We start from the raw sequence: 17240 nt of genomic DNA on the forward strand, positions 1-17240 counted from the left end.
TAATGGCAGACCATATATATGGAGCGGTTGAATTATTCACAGGCTCCTTTCAATCATGCAAGAAAAGCATTTACTGACTCTAAGTTGAAAAAGATACAGTCCCTGCTTTCTAGTTTGCTGTGAAAACAGTATTGACTCATAAATAAACATTTAAAAGGGCAGAAACACATCTAATGAAATAAACCCAGCTATTTATAGGGTCTTGAATGGGCTAATTTTGTAGTATTTCTGGGTGATGGGGTGTGAAATATGTGATCAGGCAAAATGAAAAGGTGGAGCTGGAGGCTGCTTGGTGAGAGAGAAGAGAGCACTAGAGCAGGAGTCCAAAAAGACTTGGATCCAATTCTCTACTCTGAACCCCACCGTGGATTTGCCACTGAATAAATCACAAACCCTGCTGTCAGCCTCAGATGTCACATCTCTAAAATGGGAGGGCAGGACAGATTACTTATAAAACTCCTTCTGGTCAAGAAACTATAAGTGGATCAAAATTATTGCCTTGAAATGGAGCTGTTTCTTAAGGAAGGAAGAAGGAAAGATAGGAAGAAAGGGAGAGAGGGAGGGAGGGAGGGAGGGAAGTAGGAAGGAGGGAGGGAAGGAAGGAAGGAGGGAGGGAAGGAAGGAAGGAAGGACTGAGGGAGGGAGGGAGGGAAGGAGGGAGGGAAAGAAGGAAAGAAGGAAGGATGGACAAAATGACATTCACTGTAATGTTTTGAATTAACAGGGGTGAAAAACTGAAAACAAGTGAAATGTCCAATAATAGGGGAATGGTTAAATAAGATGTGCTACATCTACATGCTAGGATAGTATGTAATCATTTAAATGATGTAAATAAAGAGTTTCATTGCCTTGGGGAAAATTCAAGAACACCAGGGTGGCTTGACTGGGCCTGGATCTGCCCAGTGCTCTCCTCACAGGCCCCTCAGGCCTGGCTTACAGCAATCCTGGTGGCTGTTACCACTCCCAGGAAGTGTCCTACTCAAGATAATATACAACTAAATGAATTGATTAGAAACAGAACTCATCTAGACAATGGATGAATCTGAGAAACATTCTGCTTGAAATGGTATCTTGATCTCCCTGGCAGGTAATGCCCATTTTCCCCTGAAACATGGTTGGTCACTAAGGACTCCGCACTGCCCTTGGGGTGCTCCTGCCAACTTCCCCAGCTGTCACCTCTAGTGCTCTTGGAGTAACAGGAATAATGAGGCCTCTGGTTGTTGTACCACTAAATGGGGAGAAACGATCCACTTACATGTTTCTCACTCTATTAATGTCACGCTCCAGGGTCAATACAGCATTTTACATCTGAATGCTCTTTTCAAAAATATCTGAAACAAAACAATGAGATACCACCACACACCAGTCAGAATGGTTATTTACTGAAGAGTCAAAAAATAACAGATGCTGGCAAAGATGCAGAGAAAAGGGAACACTTATATATTGTTGCTGGAAATGTAAATTAGTACAATCTCTATGGAAAACAGTATGGAGATTTCTCAAATAACTAAAAATAGAACTATCACGCAATCCAGCAATCCCACTACTGGGTATCTACCCCAAAAGAAAAGAAACCATGATATAAAAAAGACAGCTGCTGCTGTTTATCACAGCTCTGTTCACAATAGCAAAGATATAGAATCAATCTGTGTCCATCAACAGATGAGCGGATAAAGAAAATATGGTATATACACTACGGAATACTATTCAGCCACAAAAGACAATGAAATCATGTCTTTTGCAGTAACACAGATAGAACTGGAAGCCATTATCTTAAATGAAATAACTCAAACAGAAAGTCAAATACCACATGTTCTCACTTGTAAGTGGGAGCTAAATAATGTGTACACATGGACACAGAGAGTGGAATAACAACTTTGGAAATTCAGAAGGGTGGCAGGGTGGGAGGCGGGTAAAGGATGAAGAATTACTTAATGGCTACAATATACGCTATTTGGGTGATGGGTACACTAAAAGCCTAGACTTCACCACTACCTAATATATCCATGTAACCAAGCCACACTTGTACCCCCTAAATCTATAAAAACAAAAGTTAAAAAATATATATCTAAGCAAAACAATCCCACATCCCTTTCTTCCTGTTGGAAGTGTTTTTTTCTTTATGCAGAAGGCTTTATCAAAGCTGCTGAATACAAACACAAAAAAACCCCAACTTGAAAACTGGTGAAATGAGTAAAACGGATGCCGCTGGTTGAGATGTACAATAGCATTCACTTAGGAATATCCATTGTGGGCCAACTTGTCATTTTGGCCTCAAGCACTAATTTTTGACCAGGCTGATGCGGGGTGCAAACACAGGAGACATCTCACTCTAAATTCTGTACTTTCTTTTCAAAGCTAAACCCGACTGAAAGGAACTTTTTGTAAAGAAGAATCCAGAATTGGAAGTGCATGATTTCAACCCTATAAAAATATGTATAGAAAGACAGATGACCCAACATTACAATTAAAGCATCTGCTTAGGAGTGGAGGGAGAAAACAAGGGAGGGAGGTGGTTTGTGTGCAGGAGAGAGAGACAGACACACACACAGAGAGATTACTGTTCAGATTGTCTAAAGTGATCCTCCTGGGCACAGCTGTGCAGTCACTGTTGTCTAGAGGCTTCCTCTGGGTGCCCAAGCGCTAGCTTGGCTGTGCCCATGCCCCACCATGGCTCTCACAGCTGACTGCCTCCCACTCCATTGAACACACACGAGTCTGTCACTTTCAGTTCCACTTAATTTCCACTCTCCCCTCTGGCTGGCGGCCACAGAGTCCTCTTGGCAACCTCCACACTGGTAACCATGGATACCCTCCACTCCCAGACAGGCGGCTCCTAGAGCAGATGGTTGTCAGCACTGGGGGTGGGGAACAGGCTGAAGGGACAATCTGAGTTATCCAGTCCCTTGCATACACCCCTCCCCAACCAACCCCCACCCCCCCACACACACACTCACACACATACACACACACTCTCTCACACGTCTTTCCCTAGATCATGCTTAATTCTGGCCTTGACAAGGAACTCATGATGTTTCAAATATCACAAATACTGCAAGAACAATTGCTACCATTGGTGCAGCACCTACTGTCTGCCAGACAATGACCTATATGCTTTGCATACAAAGGGAAGGGAATAGTTTACTAGGAGGGCTTAAGGAGTTTCATTTTTCTGACCCAATTCAAACATGACTGTTTGGGGCCAAGTCTTTTAGTGTGGACTGCTGACATGCATAATAACAATCTCAGAAGCATATTGAAATTCCAGGTTCCTGGGCCCAACCTTAGAAATTCCAATTTAAATGGGAGAAAATTTTTGCAATCTACTCATCTGACAAAGGGCTAATATCCAGAATCTACAATGAACTCAAACAAATTTACAAGAAAAAAACAAACAACCACATCAAAAAGTGGGCGAAGGATATGAACAGACGCTTCTCAAAAGAAGACATTCATGCAGTCAAAAGACACATGAAAAAATGCTCATCATCACTGGCCATCAGAGAAATGCAAATCAAAACCGCAATGAGATACCATCTCACACCAGTTAGAATGGCGATCATTAAAAAGTCAGGAAACAACAGATGCTGGAGAGGATGTGGAGAAATAGGAACACTTTTACACTGTTGGTGGGACTGTAAACTAGTTCAACCATTGTGGAAGTCAGTGTGGCGATTCCTCAGGGATCTAGAACTAGAAATACCATTTGACCCAGCCATCCCATTACTGGGTATATACCCAAAGGATTATAAAACATGCTGCTATAAAGACACATGCACACGTATGTTTATTGCAGCACTATTCACAATAGCAAAGACTTGGAACCAACCCAAATGTCCAGCAATGATAGACTGGATTAAGAAAATGTGGCACATATACACCATGGAACACTATGCAGCCATAAAAAATGATGAGTTCATGTCCTTTGTAGGGACATGGATGAAGCTGGAAACCATCATTCTCAGCAAACTATTGCAAAGACAAAAAACTGAACACTGCATGTTCTCACTCATAGGTGGGAATTGAACAATGAGAACACATGGACTCAGGAAGGGGAACATCACACACCAGGGCCTGTTGTGGGGTGGGGGGAGGGGGAGGGATAGCATTAGGAGATATACCTAATATTAAATGACGAGTTAATGGGTGCAGCACACCAACTCGACACATGTATACATATGTAACAAACCTGCATGTTGTGCACATGTACCCTAAAACTTAAAGTATAATAAAAAAAAAAAGAAATTCCAATTTAGAAGGTCTGGGGTAGAACCCAGGAGCCTGAGTGGGGCCCAGGATCTGCACTGTAAACAACCACTTCGTGTGATTCCAATGTAAGTGGTCTGGACCACCTGAGAGAAAGCCTGCTCTGGCTCAGGGATTCTCAGACTTTAAAATGCTGATGAGGGTCTGGCTAAAATGCAGTCTGATCCAGTATTTCCAGGGCAGGACTTGGGGATTCTGCATTTCTGTTAAGCTTCCAGGTGAAGCTAATGCTGTAACCCTGGGAGGTATCTTTCCTCGTTCTGTTCATTTCCTCTGCCTGAGATGCCACGCTCTACTTCATCTAGCAGAATTCTACTCAACCCCCAGAGTCCCACTCAAATGTTAGTATTTCAGGAAGCTTCCTCTGGTCTGCAAGTCTATTTTAGAGGTCAGTAGTGTCCTGAAGCCAGTTCACAATGGCTGAAGAGAGCCACAGCTAAATTTTCTGGAATTTTATGAGCCAGTTATTAAGCACAACCATTATACAAAATTTATATAAATATACAATTAAATAAATTACACTAAAATTAAAGTAACAAAAGCTCAAAACTCATCATTTCCTAATTCTTTTAGCACATTTACTATTAGCTACGCTTTTGAGGTGATGTCCATCTACTGTAGCCTTAGGGTAGAAATGCTACACAATGATGTGCTTCTGCGCAGCTCTTCCCAACTCTGTGGTCTTCAGTGTCATGTTGGCTGACTGAAATTTGCCATAGTGGGCATATTGACACCCTGGAAATCAGCAAATGTTACAAATCAGCACTAAGTCTATCACTCTGTTGACTGAGTAGATTTAAGAAAGTAATGGAGTAAATGTTAATAATGCAGATTAGGCTTAAAAATGGGTTGTATCTGTAGTTGTTACATTGTAAATAGCATAAAAAATTGAGGAACTACATTTCCAAGATTCAAAACTATTATCTGATTGAACAAAGATACCCACAACATTGACTAACTAGTTCTGGTATATGTCTTTATACAACTTCATTGTTTCTCTCTTACCTTCTCCTTAATACAAACAAAAATATCAGCCAACATACACACCAGGCTCTCTGGTCTTGGCACAGAAGCAAGACAATGAAGAGAACATCCCATTCATCATTGTTTGGAAACCTTGCCATAAGACACACATTGTGCTTCTGTGGTGGCACTTAGGCCTTCCACTTTCAGAAGGTGACCTGTGGCAAATGTTGCTACCCTACCAGCCACAACAGAAAGTATAGCTGGAATGCCAAGGCTAAAAGCTGAAATACTACTGCAACTAGTCGAATGAGACACCTAAAAATTGTCACCGCAGACCTAGGCATGGATTCTATAAAGGAACAACACACCTAAATCCAAGAGGGCAGCTGTTGCAGCATCCAGTTCATCTCAAGCATTTCAATGATTAGTCAGCACAATAAATGTTCTGGTTAAAAAAAATTCATGTCAGAATACACTTGTTTGTCAATAATGTGAGTGACTTCCTTGCTAAATCAAATAGTAATCAAGCCTGTATTCATAGTCTATTTTGTGATACTATTATTGGCAGTAGAAATATAAAAACTGATGGTAGACTTTGCAGGAAATAGAAAGACATAATGTAGTAATAGGTATTTGGAATTTACTGTAAAGAATACTGTGTATTTTATTATTATTTGTAAATTGCGTGTTCACATCCACTATGTTACTAAAATTTATTATTATGTATGTGTTTTATATATATATATATAAATATATAAATTTTTTTTCTTGCAGAGCTGGTTATTCACATTTGCCAGCACACTACTGCAGATGTCCCTCCTTTGTGTTTTATAGCAACCCAATCTTGCCTTGTTTTGTATGCTTATGAGCCTATACTATAAATCCTTGATTTACATATTTGTTTCTTCATCCAGAATGAAGGCTCCTTGACAGCAGGGATCCTGGATTTTCTAGCTTTACAACCCCAAAGATTAGTAAGGTGCTTGGCAAAGAGGAAAACCTTTGTAAATGTAGAAGACAAACCTCACTTCAACTGTGAAGTCTTTTCTGACACTCACAATTGATAGAACTAGCCACTACTGCACATCCACAGCAGTTTCCACACATCTCACAACTCCATCCTGGCAGTCCCAGAAATGGAACTCAGAAAAGGCTCTTGACTGTATATTGAACACAGTGATAAGAATAAATGCTAGCATTTCCTGAGCACATGTTATGTTGCCAGGCACTTTTCTATGTGCTTTACACACATTAACTCATTTAATCCCCACCCCTATGAGGTAGGTGCTGTTATGATACTTCTCACTTTACAGATGAGGAAGGTGAGGCTCAGAGAAGGTAAAGAGCTCCCCCAAGTTATTAAGGAGGAGAGCTGGGATTAGAACCCAGGTAGTCCAGCTCTAGCCCTCAATGAGTGAATGGATGAATAGATGGATGATTTGAAAAGCAGCCCGTCTCTTAGGCAGTTTCTGATTCTATATATACCAATTTGCATTTCAACATCTTAGAAAACAATTCTATTCTTAGAGGTGCATGGTTACAAACTTATTTTTCATTTTTTGAGGTCTTTCTCAAGGCTTGGGACAGGGCAGAATTCTCCCAATCTGCTCGGGAGTGCTAAACATTGGTTCCAGGGCCCCTCTTCTCCAGTTTTCTACTGATGGATTTGGCAAATACTCTTCCCAGGGCCTGATTTTGCAATAGTGTATAAATCACTACCATAAAGGGCACATGATCTAGGGAGGGGAAGACATAGGCTTCAGAGTACCAATTCAGGAAAATTAAGCCTTTAGTTATTAGCTGTGTGATACTGGGTAAGGTATTCAACCTCTCTGAATCTATCTATCTGACAGAGTTGTGACGACTAGATATAATGTACACAAAGCTGTTACCATTATTTTTACTACCACAACTACTGCTGCTAATAGTTAATATTTATGGTATTAATTTTGTTATGTGTCAGGTACTAATCCAAGCAGTTTATATAGTAATTCACTTAATCCTAAAAATAATTTTTCATGGTAAATGCCATTATTATCTTTATTATCTCTTAATACCAGAGGTATTAAGTCACAGAGCCTGGATTCAATCCAGATGTGCCTGATACCAAAGTTTACCAGTACACAGTATTTATTCATCCACTACAATAGACTATGACAAAAACTTTGCAATATTGTACTGGTATTCCTAGACAGTGATATAAGACAAAATTGAAGAAATAAGAGGAAGAAAGATTGTAAAGGCAGAGACAATATTGTCATCATTTGCAGATAATACAATGATTTATATAGAAAATCTAAGAAAGAAAATTTGGTTGACTGAGTTAAGCTCCCCTCTCCCCCACAAAATGCATAGAAATGCTACATAAAATATAGTAAAATATAATAAGTCTTTTTTATATTCATAGATGAGCTCCAAAGAAAGAGAATCTTCAGATGCAGGAAACCCTGAATCAGAGCAGTAAAGGCAGCTAAAAGCTGAAATACCTCTGGAACTGGTCGAATGAGACACCTAAAAATTGTACGCCACAGACCTAGGCATGGATTCCATACAGGAACAACACCTAAACCCAAGAGGGCAGCTGTTGCAGCATCCAGTTCATCTCAAGGATTTCAATGAAGGCACCTCTGAGTCAGAGCAGTAAACGTGAGAAGTGACTGCACTGCTGCCGAGAGGACACTTTGGACCCCAGTATCAGCTCTAACGGCAAGGCAAGGAGAAGAGACCTGGCCCTCTGTAGAATGGGGAGTGGGAACTGAAACTCATGCATGAAGCAGGGCCACAAAGGTTGCCCCACGGTGTAATGGAGTCACTGGCCCAGGGAAGTCTAAGGATGTCCCTTTCTGTTTAGGGTTCTGGGTGGGGGTGGGATGGAGTCGGGGAACCTGCCACTATCCATCAAAACCCTAAGTGAGAGTCATGCATGGGTGTGGAATCCCTATTTGCAGCACCCACAGAGTACAGAATTTCCAAGCTGAGGAATTAAGGTAAAAATGAACCCCAGACCAGTGAAACCCTGAAATATTTCTCAGGAATGAAAGCACAATTGCTCCAGAGGGCCATTTTCACAATCCACAATAAAAACTTAAAACCATATGAGGAAATGATCTGCCATGAGGATTAACATCCAAAGAACTTGAGAAAACATCTAACTTAGACTACAAAATAAATGTGTTTAAAAAGCTTAAAGACTTAAACAAAAAAGAAAACATAGTGAAACAATAGGACATGATGAAGAATACACATATTTGAAAAATCAAACAGAACTTCTAGAAATGAAGTATCATAGAAATTACAATTTTACTGAATGAGGTACATATCCTATTTGAGAAAATTAGTGAAAGACTGAGAAAATTTCCCAGAATGAAGCACAAATAGATAAGATATATGAAAAATAAGGAGTGGTTTAAAGACGAGGAGGATATATTGAGAAGAAATAAAATATGTGTAATACAAGTTCTAGGGGAAAGAATAGAGAAATAAAGAGAGGCATTATTCAGGGATACTAGATGAGAAATTCATGGAATGGAAAAAGTTACATGTCTTCAAATTCAGGAAAATAACTAGTCTCAAGCATGATCCATAAAAGCAAGTCCATACTTAGATGCATAATAGTGAACTGCAAAACAGCAAACACAGAGAGAAATCTTAAAACAAAGAGGAAAGATTCCATAGGAAGGAAGGACAATTACAGTGATAGCAGACTTCTCACAGGCAACAGCAGAGGCCAGCATACCATAGAATGGTATCTTCAAAGTGCTAAGAAAACATTATTGTCTTTCTAGAATTCTTCTCTCAGTGATACTATCTCTAAAGCAGGAGAGTGAGATAAAGATCCTTCAGGCAAAGGCCATATTTTCAGCAGAAAAGAGTGGGATTCAAGAAGCAACGGCTGGCTGGGCTTGGTGGTTCACGCCTGTAATCCCAGCACTTTGGGAGGCCGAGGCAGGCGGGTCACTTGAGCCCAGGAGTTCAAGACCAGCCTGAGCAACATGGTGAAAACCCATCTCTATTAAAAAAAAAAAAAAAAAAAAAAAAGGCAAGAGCAGTAGCTAATGCCTGTAATCTCAGCACTCTGGGAGGCCGAGGTGGGCGGATCACCTGAGGTTGGGAGTTCGAGGCCAGCCTGACATGGAGAAATCCCATCTCTACTAAAAACACAAAATTAGCTGGGTGTGGTGGCACACGCCTGTAATCCCAGCTAATCGGGAGGCTGAGGCAGGAGAATCACTTGAACCCAGGAAGTGGAGGTTGAGGTGAGCCGAGATGGCACCACTGCACTCCAGCGTGCGCAACAAGAGCAAAACTCCATCTCAAAAAAAAGAAGCAATGGTGAGTAAAATATTAGTAGATATGGGGGCAAATCTAAATAAGCATTGGGTATAAAAATTGTATTACTAATTATTTCTAAATTGAGGATTTATAAAGCAAAGATGAGGTAAAATATAAGACAAGAAAAACATGGAAATTGGGAGCAGTAGAGCTTGATTAATTTGAAACTTTTTTTTTTTTTGAGACAGAGTCTTGCTCTGTCACCCAGGCTGGAGTGCAGTGACATGATCTCAGCTCACTGCACCCTCCGCCTCCCAGGTTCAAGTGATTCTTCTGCCTCAGCCTCCCAAGTAGCTGGGATTACAGGCATGTACCACCAGGCCCAGCTAATTTTTGTATTTTTAGTAGAGACGATTTTTTTTTACCATGTTGGCCAGGCTGGACTCAAACTCCTGACCTCAAAGTGATCCCCGCCTTGGCCTCCCAAAGTGTTAGGATTACAGGCATGAGCCACTGTGCCCGGCTGAAACTTACTTTTTAATTCTTAAATAAAAATAAGAATAGCTACTAAAAAAAAAACCCACCTGATCAAAAAAAAAAAAAAAAAAAACCCACAAAAATGAATGTGTAACTTCCACGTAGAAGGGAATACAGAAAAATGTTCAATAGAAGACAGAAATGCATCGAAAAGGAGTAAAGAAAAAGAATCAAAGGAGAAAATATTAGAATTAATAAAAGAATTAGCAAGTTCAAAGGTAAAAGACATAACAACGCTGTTCCTACATACCGCAACAACCAAGTAGAAATGATAACAGAAAAAAACTCATTCATAATAGCAACAAAATCTAGAAAACGTATAGGAAAAATCCCAAGGAAAAGAGACCTTTTTGAAGAATATAAAAGAAGACTTGAGGAAAGGGAATGACATCTTGTTTATGCATAGAAAGACGCAGTATTATAGAGATGTTAATCCTCAGATTAATCTATAAATTTAACCTGAGGCCAATCGAAATCCCAACAGTATTTTTTTGCAGTACTTGAGAACTGAGTCCAACATAAATACGAAAGGATAAATGTCTGAGAAAGGCCAAGACAATTCTGAAAAAGAACAACCAAAAGAGATCTGTCCTGTTAAAAATCAAAGCGTATTACAAAGCTATGACAAATAAGTGTGGCATTTTTTTTAGAAAAAGACAAACAGACCAATCCAACAAAATACAGAGCCCAGAAACAGATCCAGAAACAAATGAGGGAACTTGCTATATAATAGTGGGAACTTTTTTAATCAAGGAAAAAAGAATTACCTGTCAGACAAATAACGGATTTGGGATACTTGACTTCCCACATACAAGAAACACAGGAAATTGTACTCTATCTCACACTATACACAAAATTGAACTCCAGATGTATTACACATCTAGATGTGAAAAACAAAATTTAAAACTATTAGAAGAGGTTGGGTGCAGTGGCTCAAGCTTGTAATCCCAACACTTTGGGAGGCCAAGGCAGGTGGATAGCTTGAGCCCAGGAGTTCAAGACCAGCCTGAGCAACATAGTGAGACCTCGTCTCTACCAAAAATAATTTTAAAAACTAGCCAGGTGGAGTGGTGCATGCCTGTGGTCCCAGCTACTCAGGAGGCTGAGGCGGGAGGATTGCTTGACCCTGGAAGGTCGAAACACAAATGAGCTGTGATTGAGCCACTGTACTCCAGCCTGGGCAACAGAGTGAGACCCTGTCTAAAAACAAACAAACAAACAAACAAACAAACAGAAAATTATTGGAAGAAAATAGTGCCTTTATAACTTTGGGATAGTGAAGCATTTCTTACATTAGCAATAAAAAATAAATGATAAAGGCAAGGACTAAGTCCACTGAATACACTAAAATGAAAAATTTCTGCATGACGAAAGATACTATAAACAAAGGTAAAAGACAAACCACAGAAAAAAGATTAGTAATCAGAATCAATGCAGGCAAGTAAGAAAAAGATAACACCTGAATAGGACAATGGGAAAGGGTAGGAATATGCAATTCACAGAAGAAGAAATGCAAATTGTGTATAAACACATGGAAAGTTTCTTAATTTGACTCAAAATCAGGGAAATATGAAGTAAACAAAACATTTCCATATTATGAAGTTGGCAAAAATTTTTAAGTCTGACATTATAAGACAAAGGGGGTACTTTTATATACTATTAGTTGAAGTATAAATGGGTCCAGCCAGTAAAAAGAACATTTTTTCAACATTTAATAAAATACAAAATGTGCATAACCCAACACCCAACAATTTCTCTTCTAACCCTTTAATATATTCACAGCTAGACATGTATAAGGATATTCACTGCAACATTGCTTGTGATAGTAAAAATGTACAAAAACCTAAACATAAATAGGGAAATAAATAATATGTGATATTGTCATATGATGGCAGATTTATACAGCCATTAAAAAGAACGATCTGTATATGTATGGGTATTTACGTATATGTGTGTGTTTGCATTTTCTCAAGATATGTGATGTTGGGTGAAAAAAACAAAGTGACAGAATGATACACAGTGTAGGATGCCATGTCAGAAAGCACACATAAATGCAAGGCCTTACACAGCTCATGGATGAAGAGGTATACATGAAAGTATACCTCTTTATAACAGTGATGACTGCCCAGGGGGCAAGGGAAGAAGCAGAATGGGTCTGGGCCTAGTGGGGGGGAAAAATAACAACTTTACCTGAAAAAATATTTTTTAATACAATAAAAGACTAGAAGAAAATATGATTTATTTATTTATTTATTTATTTTTGAGATGGAGTCTTGCTCTGTTGCCCAGGCTGGAGTGCAGTGGTGCAATCTCGGCTCACTGCAACCTCTGCCGCCCACGTTCAAGCGATTCTCCTGCCTCAGCCTCCCAAGTAGCTGGGATTACAGTCACGCGCACCACCACACACAGCTAATTTTTGTGTTTTTAGTAGAGACAGGGTTTCAGCATCTTGGCCAGGCTGGTCTTGAACTCCTGCCCTCGTGATCCACCCATCTAGGCCTCCCAAAGTGCTGGGATTACAGGTGTGAGCCACCGCACCCAGCCTCAAATATAATAAAACGTTAATTTTTAAAATTATGGATAGTGAAAATATGTGTGTTTTACCCTTCTTAGTGATGTATTTTTGTTAAGTTCTCCAAAAAAACCCAGAAAATGCTTTGAGGATTTATTGGAGCAGGCACCATCAGACACTTAAGCGGGAATGAGAGCAGTATCGAATGGATGGAATTGATTCTTTGGCCATGAGCTCCCTCCCTCTTCAATGTCATCGGATTTTCAGATCCGTCGTGCTCCTTCCTGTGTTCCCCACTCCAACGTGAGACCATGCTTTGACATCACGCACCCAGGCCTTTACAGGGATCTCTGAGTGTGGCACCGTAGTGCTGGGAAGGACTCCCCAAAAAATTGGGCCAACCCCTAGTAACAGATGAGGACAATGAAGCAGGAAGGAGAGACTTGTCTAGGGTCACATAGGAGGCAAAGCTGGCCTCAAGGTTCATCTTTAACCTTAGGCTCTGCTCCAACACCACTTCCTCAGATGACAGATCCAACTCCTCACCTAGGTTAGCCTGTCAGCTCCCATTAAATGCTCTGTTAGCACCTTGTACTTTCCCTGCCAAGCATTTATCACAGCTAAATTTAATAATTAGTTATTGAAATGCACGCTTGACACCTTATCTGTCATTACACTGCTCATTCCATGATGAATTTTGTCTTGTTCATGGCTGTAATCCAAGAACATAGTTCAGAGTCTGTTCCCTGAGTGACTGCTCTCTTGGTGTCTAGACTGGTGTGCATTCAGATTCCATGCTCACCTCTGAGTATTAATATTTAGGAATTATAACTGCAAGGACCTAAGAGTTTACACATGTTCGTATCCTATATCCTATGGCATGTATCATACTGCCCTATTTTCTGAAGGAGGAAATTGAGGCTCAGAGACTTGAAATAACTTTACCAAGGTCACAGAAATAGTAAATGGAAAGGCTGGAATTTAAGCTGAGGTTTTCTGATCCCAAGCCATTTGATCGGTCCATTGCACCATGGCTACCAGATGAGTAGCTGTGATTACTAATTTCTCTTGTGTTCCTTACCTTTTCTTCAGAACACTTCTCCCTTCCATCACACACTCCTAGCCCTAAAGACCTTCCTTATTTAAGAGCATTCATGCTTCTGCTGCTCTGTCCTCTCCTCCTCACCCATCAGCACCACAATCCCCATCATTATCATCATCTTCATCATCACATTTCTCCCTACTATTGAAGTAGGAGCTGACACAGAGTAAATCAGCATGTCCCAATCCCTGGGGATATGACCCCAATCTGGGGATATGACTTCATAGTCATATCCCCAGAGCCTAGCTCAGAGTCTTGTTTGTAGGAAGAGCTCAACAAATATGAATTGAATGAACAAGTGACTAAAGTAATGCATTCTACCAAGGGCTTGCAAAGAATCTCATTCTCACAAATGCAGTCTGGACTGGGACTACTATGCTGTGCTAAAAGGCTCCCCACAGAATGGTGTTATAGTAGATTTTTAGAATCACCAAGCCTCTCTCCAATTCACAGCCTGCCTTTGGCCCACTCTGGAGGAATGCTGGACCAGGGCTTCGGTGAGGCGTCATAACAGTCCCTCATGGTAGAGCTCTCTTCTGTGCTATTTTTGGGTGCTAGATCCTGGCATGTTGATGATCTCACTGTATACCTTTTAATACCATTTATCCCTCGTCCATTTTTTAAAAAATTCCATGTTGTAGCCCCGAAGGGAACCCCACACAAAAATGGTCATAGTAGCCAGAGACTAATAGTATTTCACAATGGTGACTCCTGTACCTTGCGTTCTTGGTTGCTATGAGAGATTGGCTGGTTATCCATTATATATAAAGACAAAGAGACTCTTACATGTACATCAGCTTCCCATTGCTATTCAGTTGTAAGGAAACAAGAGAATGACTATGTCACTTTCGAAGAATGAGTGATGTGCTTAATAAGGCACAGCCGAACCAAGTATTCTTATGCACTCTGTTCAGGGGGTTACTTGCTACTTAAATACAGAGTCTGAAACTTGGTAACACAGTATTCTGTCCTCAATAACCTAGATCAGAAATTGGCAAACTATTGCCTACCAGCCAGATACAGCCCTCTGCCTGTTTTTCAGCTGTGAGCTAAGAAAGGTTTTTGTAGATGAATGTTTGCAATCAACCTGATGAAAGGGAACACCAACTTTGAACCCCAATTCAGCAAATATTATTACCCAAAAAAATTATTCTCATTAGCAGAGCTGTATTATAAAAGATTCTATTCAATAATTATTATTATATTTTGAATTTTAGCAATAAAATTTTGGTGGAAATTTGTTTTCTCTCTTGTTATATAAGTACCTACTTAATAACCTTAATTTTGCATCTTAGCCTGCAAAGCCTACAATATTTACTATCTGTCCCTCTATAGGAAGTTTGCCCACCACTGGTCTAGACTAAGGCTATAAAGCTTGTCTCCCACCATGTCACTTCTTATACTTGGAACACTTGTTATATGGGAATATCTGTGGTTCTCCATAGGCATGTCTAGCTCTCCATGCCCCAGCTGTCCCTTCTGTTGGGACCTGCCACCTCCCTTGCTGCCTGCCTGATTGTTTTGCCTGCTGATATCAGACTAATCTTTCTAGGTCCAGCTCAGATGCCATCCTCATTTCTGAAGTCTTCTCTGACTTTTCAAGTTAGAATTGATAAGTTCCTCTGCTCAAAAAGCATGTGACATCTGGGCCATGCATGGTGGCTCATGACTGTAATCCCAGCACTTTAAGAGGCCGAGGTGGGTGGATCACCTGAGGTCAGGATATCGAGACCATCCTGGCCAACATGGTGAAACCCCATCTCTACTAAAAATACAAAAAATTAGCCAGGCATGGTGGCACGTGCCTGTAATCCCAGCTACTAGGGAGGGTGAGGCAGGAGGATCGCTTGAATCCAGGAGGCGGAGGTTGCAGTGAGCTGAGATCATGCCACTGCACTCTAGCCTGGGCGATTGAGACTCCATCTCAGAAAAAAAAAAAAAAAGAAGAAAAAAGAAAAATACTGTGAATCCATCTTTAGAAACCTTGACAATGCTGTCTTCTCAAGTCATCAGGCTTGGGGCACAGTTCTGTTTATGGACAGGAACACTCCGACTGCCATCCCTACTCCTTTTCCTCCTCTTACTTCTCTCCCACCCATATTACATCCATGATGCCTCATTTTTTTCTCTCCCTGTACCCTCTAAACAGAATCTCAGCATCTGAATTGCATATTTAATCCGGTGGCTCACTCAATCCACAAGGGAGAATGTGGTCATCAGGAAGCTCTGAGAAGAACGGCAATGGACCAATTCACTCGCCGAGAGTCATTCTTCCAACACTGGTTGAACTCTCTTCTGTGCCAGGCCCAAGAAAGGGATAAAAGGACAAGGCCCAGGCTCTGTCTGCAAGGAAAGCAAGCTGAATGGACTTTCTTGTACATCCCTGAAAAATCATGTGAAATATACCAAATCCTCGGGAGGAGTCCTTGGGGCCCCTGGGCTTTTTGAGGAGATGCAGGCATAATGCTGTCAGAGTGGCACAGATACTTGGCTAGCAAGTCATCACAATCCAAGAAGGAAAATTCGACCTCGAGTTTGTACACAATTAACCCATTCTCTGACCTGTGGCACTTAGATGCCACCCAAATCCAGACTTTGGCAAAAATTAGATAACATCAAAGCACAGAAACATTTCTGAATTCATTTTCAGAGCAAATTTAAACTTGCTAAAAATCATTCTTTTCTAATTGCTTTTATTACAGTTCTAATTTTATGATTCTTATTTTACTCATGCAATAAAATAAATAATTTTTGTGTATGCAAAGTGGCAAAAGCCAGGCCTCTCCAAATAATTCATATTTGCACAGGTAGATTAGAACATGGTGACTCAGAGATGCTTGCTGGACTAAAAAAATACACATAGAAAATCTTTGACCTGAGCATTTAATGGTTCTTTACCCAGAAATTCAGAATGTGTGCAATGAGAAGGGCAAAGGACCTCTGTATATTAGCCAAGTAGTACTCAACCCACCAGGGACAATGATGATGAGGATAGTTGCCATTTATTGAGTGCTTACTACGGGCGAGGCACTGTGCTGAGCACTGTATGTACACATCTTTCATTCATTTGTTCAATTAATTCATATCTATTAAGCATCTATTAAACACCATGCACTAAGCTAGGTGCTGGAGGTACAATAGTAAATAAGATAGGTAAGATAGTAACAGACTTAATGGAATGTTAAGTCTTTCAACAACTTGTAAGGTAGATATTAGTGATTCTGTTTTACCACTAAGGAAACAAAATCAGAAAAGAGTGATTAAGTAACTTGCTCTAAATCATATAGTTAATACATGGTAAGCAGGACTTGAAACCAAGTCCCAAATAAAGCCAGACATCAGAGGAAAGCAGGAATTACAAGAATGTATTGTACTTTTAAGTGCCCTTCTGAATTTTTATCTCATTGATAAAAACCTCTAGGAAGGAATTTATAGTTCCTAATCTTTTTCCTTCCCAGTGGAACTAACTCCTAAGCTTTTGACACACCGTACAGGTACACCCCTTCAGGAAGTGGTTCATGACTCAGGCCAGAAACCCCCTTTCCTCTACAACTCCTCAATAGCCTGTGCACATTTCTATTCTTG

At 40.3% G+C, this 17240-nt stretch overlaps 1 protein-coding gene and 1 pseudogene across 8 annotated transcripts in view, besides 1 other annotated feature; one reads left to right on the plus strand and one right to left on the minus strand.

Annotated features, from left to right (window-relative positions):
* Positions 1–17240, minus strand: part of MAP6 (microtubule associated protein 6) — an 82121-nt gene that overhangs the window by 50336 nt on the left and 14545 nt on the right. For 2 of the 8 annotated variants that reach the window (XR_949933.4, XR_949932.4), the window contains exon 2: positions 1256–1331. The exons of 5 other annotated variants lie outside the window; for them this stretch is intronic. Coding sequence is in view for 1 of the 3 variants with exons in the window: in XM_017017756.2 (XP_016873245.1) it covers positions 1256–1257 (2 nt within the window). In the remaining 2 variants the exon portion in view is untranslated. Of the gene's footprint in view, positions 1–1255; positions 1332–17240 lie in introns of those variants that run through there. One more of the 8 variants, XM_017017756.2, reaches the window with a different exon arrangement.
* LOC100419542 (ribosomal protein L37 pseudogene) lies at positions 5313–5683 on the plus strand (annotated as a pseudogene).
* Positions 17132–17201: an enhancer, noted in NCBI's record as "active region_5272". NCBI's record gives its function as "activates an Ori minimal core promoter by ATAC-STARR-seq in GM12878 lymphoblastoid cells {active_cell/tissue: GM12878}" and the evidence as "EXISTENCE:reporter gene assay evidence [ECO:0000049][PMID:35858748]".

Source organism: Homo sapiens, chromosome 11 (genome assembly GCF_000001405.40).
Source record: "Homo sapiens chromosome 11, GRCh38.p14 Primary Assembly".
In the NCBI taxonomy this organism is placed as follows: Eukaryota; Metazoa; Chordata; class Mammalia; order Primates; family Hominidae; genus Homo; species Homo sapiens.